At 40.8% G+C, this 18,179-nt stretch overlaps 1 protein-coding gene and 1 long non-coding RNA gene across 4 annotated transcripts in view, besides 3 other annotated features; one reads left to right on the top strand and one right to left on the bottom strand.

Moving 5' to 3' along the window:
* ELOVL2-AS1 (ELOVL2 antisense RNA 1) overlaps positions 1 to 3,641 on the bottom strand; it is a 35,387-nt gene extending 31,746 nt beyond the window's left edge. For 2 of the 3 annotated variants that reach the window (NR_038964.1, NR_038963.1), the window contains exon 1: positions 3,574 to 3,641. This is a non-coding gene — a long non-coding RNA (ELOVL2 antisense RNA 1). Of the gene's footprint in view, positions 1 to 2,432; positions 2,709 to 3,573 lie in introns of those variants that run through there. The other variant, NR_038962.1, reaches the window with a different exon arrangement.
* Positions 1,563 to 2,063: an enhancer, noted in NCBI's record as "H3K4me1 hESC enhancer chr6:11045569-11046069 (GRCh37/hg19 assembly coordinates)". NCBI's record gives its function as "activates a minimal SCP1, AML or CMV promoter by ChIP-STARR-seq in naive H9 embryonic stem cells {active_cell/tissue: H9 hESC(naive)}" and the evidence as "EXISTENCE:reporter gene assay evidence [ECO:0000049][PMID:30033119]".
* Positions 2,064 to 2,564: an enhancer, noted in NCBI's record as "H3K4me1 hESC enhancer chr6:11045068-11045568 (GRCh37/hg19 assembly coordinates)". NCBI's record gives its function as "activates a minimal SCP1, AML or CMV promoter by ChIP-STARR-seq in naive H9 embryonic stem cells {active_cell/tissue: H9 hESC(naive)}" and the evidence as "EXISTENCE:reporter gene assay evidence [ECO:0000049][PMID:30033119]".
* Positions 2,999 to 3,198: a silencer, noted in NCBI's record as "silent region_16908". NCBI's record gives its function as "represses an Ori minimal core promoter by ATAC-STARR-seq in GM12878 lymphoblastoid cells {active_cell/tissue: GM12878}" and the evidence as "EXISTENCE:reporter gene assay evidence [ECO:0000049][PMID:35858748]".
* Positions 3,094 to 18,179, top strand: part of ELOVL2 (ELOVL fatty acid elongase 2) — a 63,547-nt gene continuing 48,461 nt past the window's right edge. Inside the window, exon 1 of the mRNA NM_017770.4 lies at positions 3,094 to 3,171. Within this exon, the coding sequence (NP_060240.3) occupies positions 3,169 to 3,171 (3 nt within the window). The 5' untranslated portion in view covers positions 3,094 to 3,168. The remainder of the gene's footprint in view (positions 3,172 to 18,179) is intronic.

Raw genomic sequence — 18,179 nt, 5'->3', positions numbered from 1 at the left:
CCAAGTAGCTGGGATTACAGGTGCCCGCCACCACGCCCAGCTAATTTTCATATTTTTAGTAGAGACGGGGTTTCACCATGTTGGCCAGGCTGGCCTCAAACTCCTGACCTTGTGATCCACCTGCCTCGGCCTCCCAAAGTGCTGGGATTACAGGCATAAGCCACCGCACCTGGCCACCACTTCCTTTTTCTATTTAATAAAATATTGGTGGGGAAAAAGACCCTCTGGCATTTGCCGTCTCATTTGTTCCTTTGTTGTAGTGATAAGGAAAGCCATAAAATAATATTTTAAGAAACAGATAAGATATAGATGACTTTTTAGATCTCCTTCTGGCCTTATGGGTTGATGTGTATTTTTAGAGAATAAAGGTAAAATAATGATTATCAGGCTAAATGGTAATGTGGAAGTATAGGGATAATTCAAAGTTTAAGAATTCCTTCCCCATGTTTACCTGGTGTGCTTTGCAAGGTTTAGATGACATCAATGATACAATTTTTGCAAGCAACAGCCGCAGGGTTCTTAGAGGTCGGTTGTCACTTAAAATTGTTTTTTCCCTTCATGTTGTTAGAAAAATAGACTAAAGCTTTCCCTGAATGGATAATGGAATTTAGTTTCTCAAAATATCATCCATGGACTGCCTGGCTGCACCAGTATCATTTGTGGTGCTTGTTCAAAATTCATATTCCTTAGAAATGGAGGTTTCACCACTTCAAGACCCATAGAGAGTCCATTATACTTTATGCAGGGTCAGAGATGCCTCTGGAATGAAGTAGATACTCCCGCAATGTGAAACTGATAGCAAATATTAAACCCAAAGCAAAACCAAAAAAAAATTCATATTCTTGGTCTGTACCTGAGGTCATCTTGATGGATCTCAAGTATCCCTGTATAGTATTAAACCCTCTGGTGCTACTTATACACAATAATGTCAAAAAATCACTATCTAGATTAAGAATTCACATTATACTGCATCAGATTAGTGATACAGTGAAATTCAGGTCCAGAGTTTTTATCATTCAATATCCAAAAGACGTGGAAGCTACTTTTATAGCTTTCAAATATAACACGTATCAAATAGAAGAAAGAACACAGGTAAAACAGAAAGAATAAAATCATTCCAAGGAAAAACAATATTTGGGGACTATTCGTGTGAATTTCCTTCAAGTCTCTCAATATCATAATATAGATCATCACAGGTTCTAAAAACTCCTAACAGCAGGGACTGTGTTTTTCTTCATCACTGTAACCCTAGCTGTTACCAAAACGCCTAGCACATAGTAGGCACTGAAATCTTTGCTGAGTGAACAAAGTAAGTGAAGCTGAAATCAAATTGTATCTTTGATTTGGGCCACACTTTTTTATAAAAATATGCCAGCATTAAATAGAATATCACTTTCTGATTCTCAAATGCATCAAATTGATAACAAATCAATAACTAGTACTTTTGTACCAGATATTTTTCTAGAGTTTTACCCATATTAATTTAACCCTAACAGCTACATGTAATGTTAAGTGCTATTTTATCCCAAATTCGTAAATCAGGAAACTGGAGCATAGACAGTTTAGGTAACCAACCCAATACCACACACCCAGTATGTGGCAGAGCTGACTCCTGAGATTTTTATCAGACTAGGTTAACCTGTTTATGGTCATAAAATCATCCGCCTTTTATAAACAAATATATGCCTAATATTTACCACTTCAGCTACAGAAATTCTATATTAGGAAGAAAAACTCTCTATTAGGAAACTATATATTAGGTGATTGTATGACAGTTAAGATTTAGCCCCGGTACCTACAGTTACTCACTCTGCTACTGCACAAAACTCTGCAAGGGCTCCCACACCGCCCCAGGTGTGGGATGCTAAGTGTATGGTGCAGGTACCTCCGTGCACAGCCACACGGGCTGCTCTCAACCCCAATAAACATGTTTACCACATGAGCCTCACATGTGGTAAACATTTTTTTTTTTTTTTTTTTTTTTTGAGACAGGGTCTCATTCTGTCGCCCAGGCTGGAGTGCAGTGGCGTGATCTCGGCTCACTGCAGCCTCCACCTCCAGGGCTCAAGCCATCCTTCACCTCAGCCTCCCGAGTGGCTGGGATCACAGGCGCAGGCCACCACACCCAGCTAATTTTTGTATTTTTTATTTAAGAGGCGGGGTTTCGCCATGTTGCCCAGGCTGGTCCCGAACTCCTGACCTCAAGTGATTCGCCTGCCTCAGCCTCCCAAAGTGCTGGGATTACAGGAGGGAACCACCACGCCCGCCAACTTCCCATGCTTGAGGGAGAAATGGAAGAAAGTTCATGTAATACTCAGGCAAGTCCAATTTTTTCGACGTCTTTCACTTGGGCCACACACACAACTAAAGTAACTAGAAGCGCAGGCTCTAGGAGGCCACCGTTCTGTTCACAGTGAAGAGGGTGCGCTCACCGTTGGTCGTGTCCGCTGGAAGCCCCGCGTCAGGCCGGGAGCGGGACAGAGACTCTTGCTCAGGGCCGTTATCCGAACTGATCCGCTTCCCACCGCACCCCCAGAGAAACCCACCCAACCCCCTAAACCTAAGAAACCCAGACTGCGCAAACCTGCAGGAACAGAGCCATTTCCCCCTAATGTGTGCTTCAAACCCACCGAAGCCCAACTGTAAGCAAGACCAGCGTGCCCGCCCTGCACGATACTGCTTCTCCCCGCAGCAGCGGCTGCCGATCTGGGCAGCGGGTGGGTATTCCTGGGGCTCCGTGGACGTTGAGCCGCCGCGCGAAACCGGCGCCGGCTGGACCTGCAAATCGCCGCCCGGCCGGCAGGGGACGCCGCGGACGCGAGGGCGAGGTCGGTCGCCCAGGAGGGGGCGCGCGAGGCCGCAGGGGCGGGGGGCGCCGCCTCACTTGCCCTGCGCCCCTCCCCCGCGCGCCCTCCTGGCGCGGCGGCCGGCGAGGCCCCTGTGGGAGAGGGGGCGGGGACGAAACGGCCCCGAGGCTCGGAGCGCCGCGCGGCGGCGGCGCGAGCCCGAGGGGGCGGGGAGGCGCGGGCGGGTGTGCGCGCGCCGGGCGTGGGTGTGGGTGGGGGTAACCGGCGCGGGCGCCGAGATAGCGCCGGGCAGAGGGACCCGGCTACCCTGGACAGCGCATCGCCGCCCGCCCGGGTCGCCGCGCCACAGCCGCTGCGGATCATGGTGAGTGGGGCCGCGCGCCGCCACCGACACCGCCGCGCTTTCTTTCTCTCCTGGACCCACGCACCGGGCGGGAAAGGGCCGAGCGGGCGCCGGCGCGGGCGCTGCGGGTTCGCCGCTGGAACCCGCTACCCTCGGAGGGGCCGGGTCCGCGCGGGCCTGGGGAGCGGGAGCTGAGCGTTTGGGCCGGGGGCGCGCGGGTCGGCCCGAGGCCCGCGGGTCTCGGGAACTTTGTCTCGGTCCCCTCTCCCCGGTCCCGCCCCGGCACCTCGAGGCGCCCGCTCGCGCCCAGTCCCCTGTTGCATGCACGGGGCCGGGCGCCCGGGATGCCCGAGGAAGCCGCCCCTCCTTCGCGGCGGCCATTCCCGCGCGCAGCCCACCCTCCGACCCTCCGGACCCCCGAACCTGCTCTCGCCACCGCCCGCCGACGCCTGGAGCGGAGAACGGCGTTTCCCGCGCGCGGCACACACCCTGCCTCGGGAGTTCTGGGGTTCGGGCCCTAACGGTCAAGCTCTTGCCCCTCTCCTCCCTTCACCGCGCCTGCACCCCGGGGGTGTGTCTGTGCACTCGTGGGTGCCTCCTGGGTTTGCAGATTGGCTTGGGAAGCGGCTGGGTTTCTATCAGTGTCTGGGCTCGGAGGGGCTTCTGGTGTGTTCTTTCCGACAACTCCTCTCTCTGCCCGATTTCCCAGGCCAGTCCTCCACTCTGGATTAGTAACGCTTCTTTCTCCTCGGCAGTAAGCTGTGTGTGTGTGTGTGTGTGTTCACCCGTGTCCGATGAACTGCCTGACAGTAAGCTGTGTGTGTGTGTGTGTGTGTGTGTGTGTTCACCCGTGTCCGATGAACTGCCTGACAGTTTTAGTAGCAGAGCCTGGTTCTTTGGTTACAAAGGGAGAACATCTGTTGTGCCATCCTCAAAGGACTGGTCTTTAGGCAAAATGTGAAATCCGCGTTTGTCTTCAGTGGTCCATATTCAGTGTTTGCCTCACCCCCTTCCCGTAGGGTTTTCTCTCCACTTCAGGACTTGTTAAAATAAGCGCACTTCCTTTCTCTTCCCCACTCCATCTGATTTTGCTCTGGCTACCCTTTTAGGCACGTACCATCTGCCTGATTATGTGTGACCACTTAATCTTAAAATTCCAACCTTTCCTACCCCGCCCACCACAGTGTATATTCCCCTTGCCTGCTTCATTTGTCTTCTCTTGAGCATGTATTAGTTAGCGTACTGCATATTTTGTTTCTTTAGCTTGTTTCTTGAACGTCTCCTCTACCAGAATATAGGTTTCAGGAAGACACAGATTTTTGTCATTTCGTTCATTGCTTGCTAGATTTCTAGTACCTACAGCAGTGCCTGGCGCACAGTAGGTACTTGATAACTCTTTTGAATTAACCCAATAAAGCAAGCTGCTTTATGTTAATGCACAGGTGGGGAGTAACTGCAAAGATTATGCAGTTGACATTTGTAATGATGAGAGTCTCAAGTGAAGTTTGGGAGGAGGGAGATACTCCCGACAGGAGGGACCCGATTTTGGCAGCCTTCAATGACGAGTCTAGGCGGCTATCTCTTATGCCTTGTCTGTCGCTTCATGCTCTTTGCACCTTGGCATCAGAGTGGACAAAGCATTTTTAGGACCAACTGGCTCTCCTTTTGGGCTCTGAAGCTTTGTCCTAAAGTATAGGTAGGAATTGTAGTGAGTAAGGGAATAAGTCCAAGGAAATCTCTTTAGCTGAATAGGAAAGTCATGGGAATGTTAACCTAAAAGAGCTAAAATCAAGGGCAAGCTCTTGAAAGCTTTATCCTGCCCAAGTGTGATGCTTCCTGTTTAGATAAGTATTTCTCAGAAACTGTGGGTCTTCAGAGGAATTTTTTTTTAATACCCAAATCCAAATTGTATTACTTTTTTCTTCTTTCTTTTTTTGTGGCAGGGTCTCACTCTGTCACCCAGGCTGGCATGCAGTGATGCAATCTTGGCTCACTGCAACCTCCACCTCCTGGGCTCAAGTGATTCTCGTGCCTCAGCCTCCTGAGTAGCTGGGATTACAGGCGCACGTCACCACACCAGGCCAATCTGTGTATTTTTGGTAGAGACAGAGTTTCACCATGTTGTCCAGTTTGGTCTCTAACTCCTGACCTCAAGTGATCAACACCCACCTCGGCTTCCCAAAGTGCTGGAATTACAAGGCATGAGCCACCATGCCCGGCTGAAATCGTATTACTTTAAAAAAAAAATGGGCAGGGAGTAGGAAAGTTAGGGGGTTGAATTTATAAATAACTTAGTGGGTCAGTTCAGAGAGACATCCTTTTCAATACATGTCCAATATGAACTGTCTTGTAAGATATCTCTGCTAGTTAGTCTTATTATTCCAAAATAAATATTTTTTCTTTCAAATTTCCTTTTGTTTTTCTATAATGTGGATTTATGGCATTGGTTTTTTAAAAATTAGTCTGGAGAAATGTATTAATTGGAAACAAATTGTTTAATAAAATTTACATAAGTTTTTGAAAATTATGTAATTATAGCTATGACTATGTAAGTTCAGCAGTTCTGTGGTTACCATCTTTCCCAGGTAGGTAGTAGAAATTAAAGGTAAAAAGGAAAGAAATATAAGTTTGTCTTTGAAATTAAAACCAATGAACCAACCAAAGATGAATGAAAGATACCTTATTGACTTAAGTTTCTATTTGTAGGATATTTTACTGTTAGGATTCCTAGGATTCCAAAGTATCCAGCCTTTTTCTCTTTCGATTCTTCGAACGTATAGCATTTTCAAGGAGTAAAAAATCAATTTTTAAAGTATCCAGTTGGGTAAGCCTAATTTTTGGTTCTTCAACAAGGGTTCCATTTAATCTAGTTTCCTTCAAAACGTTTTAGTCAGTTTGGGAGGTTCAGGTGCTTTCATGTTCCGAAAGAGAATGTTGAAAATGTGTCAAGTAGATATTATGTATCTAGTTATGTTCAGAAAACAGGGCCCTGCTATTCAGGGTTAGGTGGATGATCGTCTGGGTTGGACAGTTGGATATGTATCATCTAACTTGACAGGTTTGCATTTCTGGGAGTAGACATTGATAAGGGGAAAGAAGTTGCACCAGAAACTTCTTTAATGGCCCAATGTGGTGAAAATACGCCAGCATCAGTAGCTCATAGTAATTCTACAGTTACAGATTCACGCATTTGTAGCTTTTCTTCTTAATTGAATTGGGACATAACTGACTTTGACAATGAACAATTCTAATAAATAGTTAATTTATGACATTTTAAATCTAACCATTTAATAATTGGAGAGCATAACTTGTTCTGAAATTTATGTGACAGTTTAGAACCTGAGATCTGAGGTCATTCGTGGGCTTGAATCCTGACACCAGCATTTAACTGTGTGACCTTGGGCTTCAGTATTTTATCCTGTAAAAGATGATAATATTTCATAAGGTTTTCGGGAGGAACAAATATGATGGTGCCCTTTATGTGTCTAAAACAGTGCTTGGAGTGCTTAGTAAATATTAACTATTATAATGATGTGTGTTCTTTTTTCTCCCATATCTATTTTAGTTGAGACACTTCAGAATGATGTCTCTGTCCCTTTTGTGGTCTTAATATACAACTAATATTGCTGTCCAATAGAAATATAACATAAATCGCATATGTAATTTTCAGTTTTCTACTAATCATATTTAAAAAGTACAGAGACAAGTGAAATTAGTTTTAATAATGTTATTTAACCCAATCCATGCAAATATTTCAACATGTAATCAATGCAGAAAAAGATTTTTCCATTGTTTTTTTTCATAGAAAATCTTCAAAATCTAGTGTGTATTTTATGCTTAGAGTGCATCTCAGTTCAGGCTAGCCGTATTTCAGCGGCTCAGTGGCCACCTGTGGTTAGAGGCTACCGTATTGGACAAAGAGCTCTAGATTGTACACAACTTCCAAGTTTACCTCTTAAAGCTCTTACACCCTTTCCACTAGTGAGAACCTCACTGCCACCTTAAACCCAGCATTACAAAAAGAAAGCTACTCATCTTTCAGACTCTCTTCTCTGTTCTCTTTTGCTGTTAGTAATTCCACCAGCTCTTCAGTCTACTGTGTCTGAAATCTGATTCTTATTCTCTTTTTTATTTTATATTGTTTGTTGTCTAATATTCTCATATTTTTACTTGAAAATATTTCAAAATCTCTTTCCTCCACCCCTTGAGCCCCCTTTCCACCATTTTTGCCTTTTCTACAGATCTCCTCTTTTGTAGACTCTTTGTTTTAACTTTTTTACTTCCTGTCTCTTGGAAAATGTATATCTCTCGCTGAATCACTGGGCTCCACATTCTCTCCATTCCTTCCTCAGCCCTTTTTCATGTTGTCAGAAATGGTTTCTATTTTATAGGTTATTCCTACCCTTAATACCTTTCCTTTGTCAAATATCCAGAGAAGTATAATTACTTTCACAGATAGTCTGATAGTAAAATGATCCACTCAAGAAAAGAAGCACAGATAAAGGAGAAAAATAAGCTAGGGGAAGGGAAGATGAAATCATTCTTTGAGTTTTATTTTCCTTTCAGGAAATATCAGAGGGAATCGATTCTAGTAGTCTGTAGTACAGTAGAGAAATTATATGACTATTTATTTTATGTTTCAAAATAGCTAGATGAGAATTGTAATATTTCTAACATAAGAAAAGATAAATGTTTGAAGTGATAGATATTCCAGTTACCCTAACTTGATCATTACATTGTATACATGTACCAAAACATCACATGTACCCTGGGAATATGTACAACTATGATGCATAAATTAAAAAATAGTAACAGAGAAATATCATGGAACTGATTAATAATCACAATCACCACCACCACCACAATAGCAATGAAACTTGATGTTTATGCAGTGCTTTCTAAGAAACAGGGCACCTTCCTGTGTGCCTGGTGAACAGAGGGAGAAAACGAAAGGCACTGGACCAAGAGTCAAGAAACCTGGGTTCTAGCCCTAGCTTTATTGTTTACTAGCTCCATTCCCTTGCTTAAGTTGCTTTGAGACACTGTTTACTCACTTGCTAAATGGTGTATTATCTCTGTCACAAGATTGTTTTGTTAGAATCAAATGGGGCCTCAGCATCTTTACATTGGCTGCCCTTTGGCTGTATACATCTTTCCCCCAGAGAGCTTTATGTCTGTCTGCTTAATACTTTCATGATTAGACCTACCCTAACCACTCTACTAAAACTGGAACCTGCCTTACCATATGTCACACACCATATTCACACACACAGTTGGATATGTACCACACCTGATCCTCTTACACTGCTTTATTTTTTTTCCACAGCACTTAAAACTAGCAGTTTGCTAATTTACATAGCACTTGGAACCATTTAATCATTAATCTCTTGATAAATTTAAAATTATTTAATTATCACAATTCAGTTTGAGCATGTTTCAGTAATACAGCTGCTTCATCAATACACATTTGCCTGTGTAACCTTTTAGTAAATGATAATATGTATTCCTACAGCATATTTACACTTCATAGTCATATTTGTGGAAAGGGCCAGGTTATGTCATTTTTAAATAATTTAATCCATATTTCATCATAAGTTTTTAATGAAATTAAAATGCATATGTATTTCTATTTTTAGATAAATCTATACTTATAGCATTAAGTTCTTGCTGAAATTAAAAATGATTATCTTAAAATATAAACAAAGCTATGATATATGGATTTGCTGAGTAATTTTATTTTTATTTTTATTTATTTATTTATTTATTTTTGAGCTGGAGTCTTGCCCCATCACCAGGCTGGAGTGCAGTAGCGCAATCTTGGCTCACTGCAACCTCTGACTCCAGGGTTCAAGCGATTCTCCTGCCTCAGCCTCCCGAGTAGCTGGGACTACAGGCGCACACCATGCTGAATAAATAATTATTTTTACTTTACATATATGTGTGGCCTTTAGTTAGCATAACTTAAATATGATTCAAGTACTGTATAATAATACTATTTTACATTTATTAATCAGTTGAATGTTTTTCAATGCATTTTAATCCACCTTAACTCTTTCTGAAGCCTCACAAAAAAACTTTTGTGAGAGGCAAGTCCTGTAGCAACATACCTACTTTACAGTTTCAAAGAAGATAAATAATTTGCCCAAGGTCACATACTAGAGGTAGCAAAACCAGCTCTAAATATTCTCAATCCAAAATAACCACCTCTTCTGCTATTCCATATAGCCTTAGCCTTTGAGAAAGGCAGTAGTACTTTTCCCCATTATTACATATGAAAATGGAAAAATCAGAGTGACTTCCCCATGTAGTTTCTTTCCCATAAATTACAGGGATGGATAGATAGATATGGATATATACATATATTGCATATATACACTTAAACATATTAAATATATAAAGTCTTAAGTTTCATTTCATATATACAGAAAATGGAACCTGCAAAGGAAAATATTATTTGAAATGGAGGTGATTGTGAACAACATCCATATGTACTTATCAAACTTAATCCACTGACTAATATAATTTAAGGGGAACAAAGCTTTCTTTTGGATAAAATGGTACACAGACATAGAAGAACATTGAGTGGCCTGAGTGACTTGAGGGCTCACTGCCTATAAATGAGCAGTACTGAGCATGTGGCTGGTACAGTGCTCCCTTATAGTAGTAATTTTCAAGAGAAGTAAGGCCATCACTTTTTTTTTTTTTTTTTAGTAGAACGAGTGTAGTATTCAAACATTAATCAGAACAGCAGTAGCTTTACACAAAAATTTTGATATCATATATGGTATTTACTATTTGGTTTTATTTCCAATACTTTAAAGATTTAAATCTGTTGAATTTTCCACGTGACTAAGCAGAATTTGGTTAATGAGATCTTGGAGTTTAACATGCATTATGACAATGGGGAGGAGCCTTTTTTTTCTTTGGCAGGGTCAAAGAGCTCATTGACCATTACACTGAGGAGTTAGATTAAAAGTTAACTCATGCCGTCTCTCTCTCCCTCTCTGCCTCCTCTGTCTCTCTCCTCCTCTGCCTCTCTTTCCCTCTCTGCCTCTCTCTTTCCCTCTCTGCCTCTCTTGTCTCTTTCCCTCTCTGCCTCTCTGTCTCTCTCTCCCTCTCTGTCTCTCTCCTTCTCTGCCTCTTTCCCTCTCTACCTCTCTGTCTCTTTCCCTCTCTGCCTCTCTATCTCTTTCCCTCTCTGCCTCTCTTCCTCTGTCTCTCTCTCCCTCTCTGTCTCTCTCTCCCTCTCTGCCTCCTCTGTCTCTCTCTCCCCATCTCTCTTCCCCTCTCCTTCTCTCTCTCCTCTCCATCTCTCTCCCTCCTCAAAAAAAAAAAAATTAACTCATGCTTTGAAAGAAGAAAACAGAATATGTCCATAAGGCAAAAGTAAAATTAGGCTATTTTCAATTTTCCTGAAAATTCAGTTCTGAACAACTGATGTTCTATTTTGTCTCTGGAAGGTCTATGCAGAGTGTTCTCCAAGGCATGCTGGGACAAACAGGAAGCCAATACCTTGATCCTTTCTGCTCCCATTCTAGAAGCTTTCCTGAAATTGTTACAGGGAAGACATTCTCTTGGATCTGTAGCTTCCTTGACTTTTGGAAATGCAGATTTCATGACTGTTCTAATGTCAGTGGTGAATTTATGCTGAAGAGCGTGCTTTGGGATGTCAGAAAAATACTCAGTTGGCTGTGCTTTCCTCCGGGGCAACGCAGTCGAAATGGTACATGTGGGCTATTTCACATCTCAATCTCCAGAGCCCAGGGAATTGTTATTCCTTTGTAAGGAAGAGAATGCCCCCTTTCCTTTGGCCTTTTCTGTGTTCAGACTCCTAAAAAAAATGGCATATATCACAAGTCATTTTGAGATTTACTGCCTGAAGTCTGCATCAAACTCAAGAATACAAAGCAACCACACTGGCTTCACTATATTTTGGAAGCCATGTTTCTCTGTTAAAAAATAGCAGGATTATGACATCAAAGCTTTTAAAGTCCTGCCACTGCTACTAAAATGCTATCATGTTCCTTTTGTAAATTAGGTTTACTATCTCATAAATGACTTTCTGTTTACAATTTTAAAAGTAAGCAGAAACACCCTATTTTAATACCTTTCGTAACACTAATCTCATCAGTACTTGCTTCGTGTAAGACAGAACATATGTCTGTAACAGTCTTAAGTCCTTAGTGTAAACTTTGGAATTAATATTTTGCATTTGTTCTCCTTTTGAAGGAAAGAAATATGCTCTCTACGTTGAATACATATTCTTTAAAATTGCTCTCGAGACATGCAAATACATTGCCTCAGTCATTTTTTTGATTAGATACACTCATTGTTCATTCATTCAGCACGTGCTCAGTACTGCTCAATTAGAGGCAGTGTGTAAGCACTGTCAATTTAAATATAAAAGACAGCCCCTGCTTCATGAAATCTGTAGTACAAAAAGAGATTCTTTTGTCTCTTCCAGTGCAAGCATACTTCACAAGTCAGCAGTGTTTGGACCACTCAGTCCAGTAAATGTGCCTCCGTGTCCATGTGCCATTCCATCCAATAGAAAGACTTAGTCTAATAATGCGACTAGTAATATTATGACAAAAAAATCTAGACCCTACAGCATAGGTAACTTTTATTCTTTATCATGGCAAGAATGTGTTCAGGACCAAGAGGTGGCTGGTAGCTAAAGAGCCAACATCACTGGGATTAATAAAGCTGAGATCAAGACTATGTCTGTGTGACACCACAGTACTCAGCAGTCAATTCAGTGAGAGGAGAAAATGATGAAACCGATTGTGTGAAAGGATGGATAGAAGGAGCATGGACCTAGGAATCTGACAGATATATTTAAATGCACATTCCTAGGCTACGTGAGGTCGGACCTACAGAATGAGAATCTCTGAGGAGGGGCCTAGGGATCTGTATACCAACAATCAAGTGCACACAAATTTGAAATCTTACGCTCTAGGGGTCCAAATGAATGGGAAGAACTTCTAGCAAAATCGTTTTGTGTATGCTTCATGAAGGGGTTGGATTTTGGTATGTAGGGAAGGAAGGAATGTAGTGTAGAACAGAACAGTCTATTTAGGAGAAATAACTGGGTGAAGGCCCCAGAAAGTAGTAACACAAATATATTTATGGAACACTATACTCTGAGCAATTTATGGACAAGGCTGTTTTCACAGAGCCTAGCACAGATTAGGTGCTCAGTAAGTGTTTTTAATTATTATTTTATTTATTTATTTATTTATTTAGAGACAAGAGTCTTGCTTTGTCACCCAGGCTAGAGTGCAGTGGTGTGATTTCGGCTCACTGCAACCTCCATCTCCTGGATTCAAGTGATTCTCCTGCCTCAGCCTCCAGAGTAGCTGGGATTACAGGCGCATGCCACCACGCTTGGCTAATTTTTGTATTTTTGGTAGAGACTGGGTTTCACCATGTTGGCCAGGTTGGTTTCGAACTCCGGACCTCAGGTGATCCACCCGCCTCGGCCTCCCAAAGTGCTGGGATTACAGGCCTGAGCCACCACATTTAGCCCTAATAAGTGCTTTTTGTTATTTATTTATTTATTTATTGAGAAAAAGTCTCACTCTGTCACCCAGGCTGGAGTGCAGTGGCGCAATCTCAGCTCACTGCAACCTCTGCCTCCTGAGTTTGAGTGATTCTCCTGCCTCAGCCTCCATAGTAGCTGGGAATACAAGTGTGTGCCACCATGCCCGGCTAATTTTTGTATTTTTAGTAGAGATGGGGTTTCACCATGTTGGCCAGGCTGGTGTTCAACTCCAGACCTCAAGTGATCCACCCACCTCGGCCTCCCAAAGTGCTGGGATTACAGGCGTGAGCCACCATGCCCGGCAGTAAGTGTTTTTTAAATGTGTGAAGTTTGTGGACCAACAGGATAATGGGATTTATGCTAGGAGAGAGAAGTCAAATTTTAAAGAGTCTTGAATTTGAGGCTAAGAAGTTTCTTCTAGATTTTGTAGGTAATAGAGAACAATTAGGCTTTTGAAATGGGGAGTCAAATGATGAAAATATCATTTAGGAAGTTTAATCTTATTTTCATAATATACAGGGCTGGGAGAGACTGGATAGGGAGGTTATAAAGGGGCTGAACTAATATGTCACTTCTTTCCACTTATTTTCATATTGCCAGCTTCTGAAAAATTCTCTCTTTAACCACACACTCCTGGATTCAGTTCCCTACTCCACTTCTTACTAATTGTTTAGTCATTTGAATATCAGTATTCTCATGGCTAAAATATGTATACTCACACATAGTGAAGATTCCTTGATAGTAAACACTCAAAACTGGTGGCTGCTACCCACAGAAACTTAATCATGTTTATCTTTACAATCCTAACTTTTTTCTCTATGCCTGGAATAGAGATTTTTATAAAACAATCTTGATTAATCCACATGTATTTACATTTTTAAAAATTCTCATATTCCTGTCATGATGGATTTTAGTTTCGACATTAAGGATTTTTCTTCTGGGGAGGATAAAAAAAGTGATAAAGGTTTTATTCTCTGATTTTTGTTTCTTCCTCTTCGGGTTACATGAGTTTTATTAATCAGTGAAAATTGAAAATCTTAACTATATGCTTGTTTCAAAACAACTTTTCTTATTGAATGGTTCTCACTTATGCACTCATAAAACTGAATGTTTTTTGAAAATTGTTTCATTGATTTGAAACATAACTTCAGAAAATCTTAAGAGCTCTACATAATCAGATTAAACCTTAGCTATTTGCCCAACCACCTACATCAAATTGCCTGTCTTGAGCTCCTCAACAGTGCTTAATCTAAAGCCTTAACCCCTAAAAATTTACCCTTAAGAAAATATATCTTTCATCCTCTGTTGTACACACTGCATTCTCATTATTTCAGTTATGAAAATCCTAAATACATCAGAAACTCTTAAGTGTATTGGATTCGTGTATTGTGTTGGAAATAATGAGGAAAAGAATGCATATATGCACATAACTTCTTTTTTAACTTTTTCTCGGTCAGTTTGGAAATAGTAAAAATTGCCTAGACTTAATACACTTAAATAGTGTAGGAGTAAAAAACTAAATAAGTGGAGAATAGACTTTGTGTCATCTAGGAGGGGAGAATGTTAGAAGGGGGCAAGATAGGTAGACATTTAGGGGCAGTAAATAGACCAGCCTGGCTGGAATGAAGTTTACTGTGTAAGGGACTGGTCGAAGAAAAGGCTAGAGGAGTACTTGGAACCAAATGGAATGAAGTTTCTGGGTCTCTGGTATGGCTTGATTCCCTACCAGCTTATTTCAAATAAAATAATTACACCTCTAATTTGTGATCAACTCCAGAGGAACTTTCTACCACATTCCTAGTGATAGTAAGTTAGAATACCATATGTTAGTATGTTTCCATTTATAGAACACTTTCAGGGCGTCGTCTCAATTGCATGTTATTAGTTACTTGTTTATCTTTGTTTACTTGTGTATTATCTGTCTCCCTTACTGCAATATAAACTCTGTAAGGGCAAGAACTTCTTTATTGCTGTAACTTCAGCACTAGAAAGGTACCTGCAGACAGTAGATGCTCAAATAATACTTGTCTGATAAATGAACAGGCATGTAAAGTCACTTTCCCATGTTTGAAGAAACTGAGACTGAGATTATTTCATTCAGAGTCATAAACTAGTAAGTGATTGGCTGAATCCACGGATGCAGATTCATGCATACAGAGGATGACTGTATTTTGTAATTGTTTGAGGAATATTTGATTATCCTTTTTCCATTGGAAAATATGTGGCATGTGCAACTAAATTTCCAGGATTTGTCCATGGTTTAGTACATAGAGTAGAAAAAGCTAAGGATTAAACCTAAATTTATGTGACCCTATAGAGGCCCTATCCTAGTCTCCTCTACATTTTTTTTTTTTTTTTTTTTGTATAGGAAACATTTATCCAAATTGTGTAAAAAGATGTGAAAATTAATTTTGTCAGCCATTAGGAGAATATGTTCTGCTATTTAATAATATGATGGAACAACTTATGGCCTTGAAGTTCTTTCATAGGTAAGACCTTAACCTTGTGCAGGAGCCAGGTGGAAAAATAGAATAAACTCTACATGATATGGATAACAAAACTAAAGCACAGAAAAAGTAACTTCTCTACATGTCTGTAGCCGACTGGAAACCTGAGCCCAAGTCTTTGACTTTTAGTTCATTGATATGTACAAGAGGAAAACATCTGTGGTTTGCTGTAGTGATGCAGAAAGTTTGGAATAGACAACTAGATTAGTGAGGCCAAAAGAGAAAGTCTGGTGCAGATATGGGAACTTGCTATAAGAGAGGAGTAGCACTACAAATGAGTGTGGAAAGGACTGTTTGAGGAATGATGTTGGGACAAATGGCCTTTCATATGGGACAAAATAAAATTAGATCTCTACCTGATAACAATATGCAAAAATAAATTGAGATCATTTAAAAACCTAAAGAAAAATTAAGCTTTGGAACTGTTAGAAAATAGAGGTTATGGCAGGAATAATTTCTTAAGCAAGATTAAACACAAACCATAAAAAGTGACATTTGACCACATCAGAGTTTGAAAATTTTGAGATGACAGAAGACACCATACAGATTTTTTCTTTTTAAAGGAGGAGAAGTTATTTGCAGTGTATATAACAAAAGATTAGCACTAGGAATGTGTAAATGACCCTTATAAATCAATAAACAGAAGACAAGCCATCCATTAGAGACATGGGTAAAGGTTATTTAATGGCAGCTCACTGAAGAGGAAACCTGCATAGCCAATAAATATTTAAAGACATACGCAACTTCAGTAGTAATAAGGAATTGCAAATTAAAACCATGTCAGACTCATGAACTTGGCAAAATTTAACAATTCTGACAGTAGCAAGTTCCATACATTTTTAGAGCTTTGTGGTAGTTTTCAAATAAAAATGTATTCCCCAATGTAGCAATTCCACAGAGATTTATTCCCAAAGAAATTCTCATTAATAAACATAAGGAGATTTGTATAAAGCAGCATTTTTTGTAATAGCAGAAAAATGGGAAATAACCGAATATATCCATTAGTAAGGAGGTGGACAAATGACAATATGGAATATTCATAAGATGGAATACTATACAACAGTTACAGTGAATGAGCCAGAGCTGCCGTGTCAACATGAATAGATCTCAAAAAAAAATCTTGAATGACAGAACAAGCTGCAGAAAGATAAGTGTGCTACGTTATAGTGCATATAAATCCTTAAAACGTACAAAACTATTTTTGCTTGTGAATATCTGCATGTAAATATATAAAACCATAGACTGGAAGGCTTGACATCAAGTTGATTGCAGCAGTTATATCTGATGAATGAACAGGGGACACAGGATTGGGAAGATGTACAAAGGGAGTGAGAACTTTATCAGTTGTGTTTCATTTCTTAGTGCCCAGTACGTGTTTATTTAAATTAGTTTAAAAAGATTTGAATGGCCGGGCACGGTGGCTCACGCATGTAATCCCAGCACTTTGGGAGGCTGAGACGGGCAGATCACGAGGTCAGGAGATCGAGACCATTCTGGCTAACACAGTGAAACCCCATCTCTACTAAAAATACAAAAAAATTAGCCGGGCGTGGTGGCGGGCGCCTGTATACCCAGCTACTCAGGAGGCTGAGGCAGGAGAATGGCATGAACCCAGGAGGCAGAGCTTGCAGTGAGCCGAGATCAAGCCACTGCACTCCAGCCTGGGTGACAGAGCGAGACTCCATCTCAACAAAAAAACAAACAAACAAAAAAAAGATTTGAAGCAAATATGACACAATTTTAACATTCATAAGTGATATGTCTATTTTATTATTCTGTACTTTTTCATACCTTTACACTTTTTCCCCAAGTTAAAAATAAGGATCTGGGATCTGCATTGGAGTCCCAGATCAGAGGTCTGTTAAGAATAGCACATCTAGGACAGATGAGCTACAGGGCAGGAGGGCCTTCTATTGTTTTCTTAGACCCTAATCCTTCCTTCTTGGCTGACTGAATTGGCATCTAAAAGGCCTTACCAGGTCAGACTCCACATCCATGCAGTTTTAGAGAACTAAAGGACAAGTTGTATTAATAGAAATTTGTGTTTGTCATTCTTACCATCAGTGAAAGGGATAAGCATATTTTCTCATGTGTGGAAAGAGAGAGAATAGCCAAATACCAACAATAGCTGCAACCAATTACATTTATTAAATTCTTACTATGTCCCAGCATTGTCATAAGAACCTTTACTGTATTCCCATATCCCCACAGCAACCCTGGGAGTTGGTACTGCCATTCCCTCTTTACAAATAGGGAAACTGAGGCAAGCTGGGCAGTGAGCATAAAGGAATAAGGAGAGCATTTTTACTCAAACAAATTGCACACCATAAATATTTGTTTCCTACTTGTAAGTCAGTTGTGAAAGGGTTCCAACCCACTGCATGCAGTGTCCTCTCAGTGTTTCTCTTTTCCCACAAAAACTAATTGACCTTTGAGAATAGTTACATTGACTGTCAACCAGTCAACAATGGTAAACCCCAAACTGGAATTTTGTTATTCTCCCTTTTATACCACTGCACTTTCTCTTCTGATTTTTCTTTAAAAAGACATCACTCTTGAGACAAGCACTGATTAATGAAGGGACATTTCTGCTATACGATGTCACTCCCCTTAGATTATCCAAGCCTGATACAGTGGGAGTTGTGAGGCTACGACAGTATGCCCCTGCATTGGGATTTGAAAATGCAGAACACTGAATCAGTGACTATCTATTCAACTTCTACTCTGTGTACAGGCCTGTCATAGATGCTTTTACAAGTATGAAATCATTGAGTCTTCACAACCACACTGCGAAGTTAGGATGATAATTCTCATTTTATAGAGAATGAAGATATGTTCAAAGATAACATTTGGCCCAAAGTTACGCAGCGACTTAGTGTCAGAGCCAAAACTAGAACCTGCGTAAAACTCCTGCCCTTTGCAGTGAACCACACTGAATGCCAGCCTACCTTTTTTTTTTTTTTTTTTTTTTTTTGAGA

This window comes from Homo sapiens, chromosome 6 (genome assembly GCF_000001405.40).
Source record: "Homo sapiens chromosome 6, GRCh38.p14 Primary Assembly".
Taxonomy (NCBI): Eukaryota; Metazoa; Chordata; class Mammalia; order Primates; family Hominidae; genus Homo; species Homo sapiens.
Note: the sequence above shows the minus strand (reverse complement) of the source record. Positions and strands in the feature narration are given on the sequence as shown.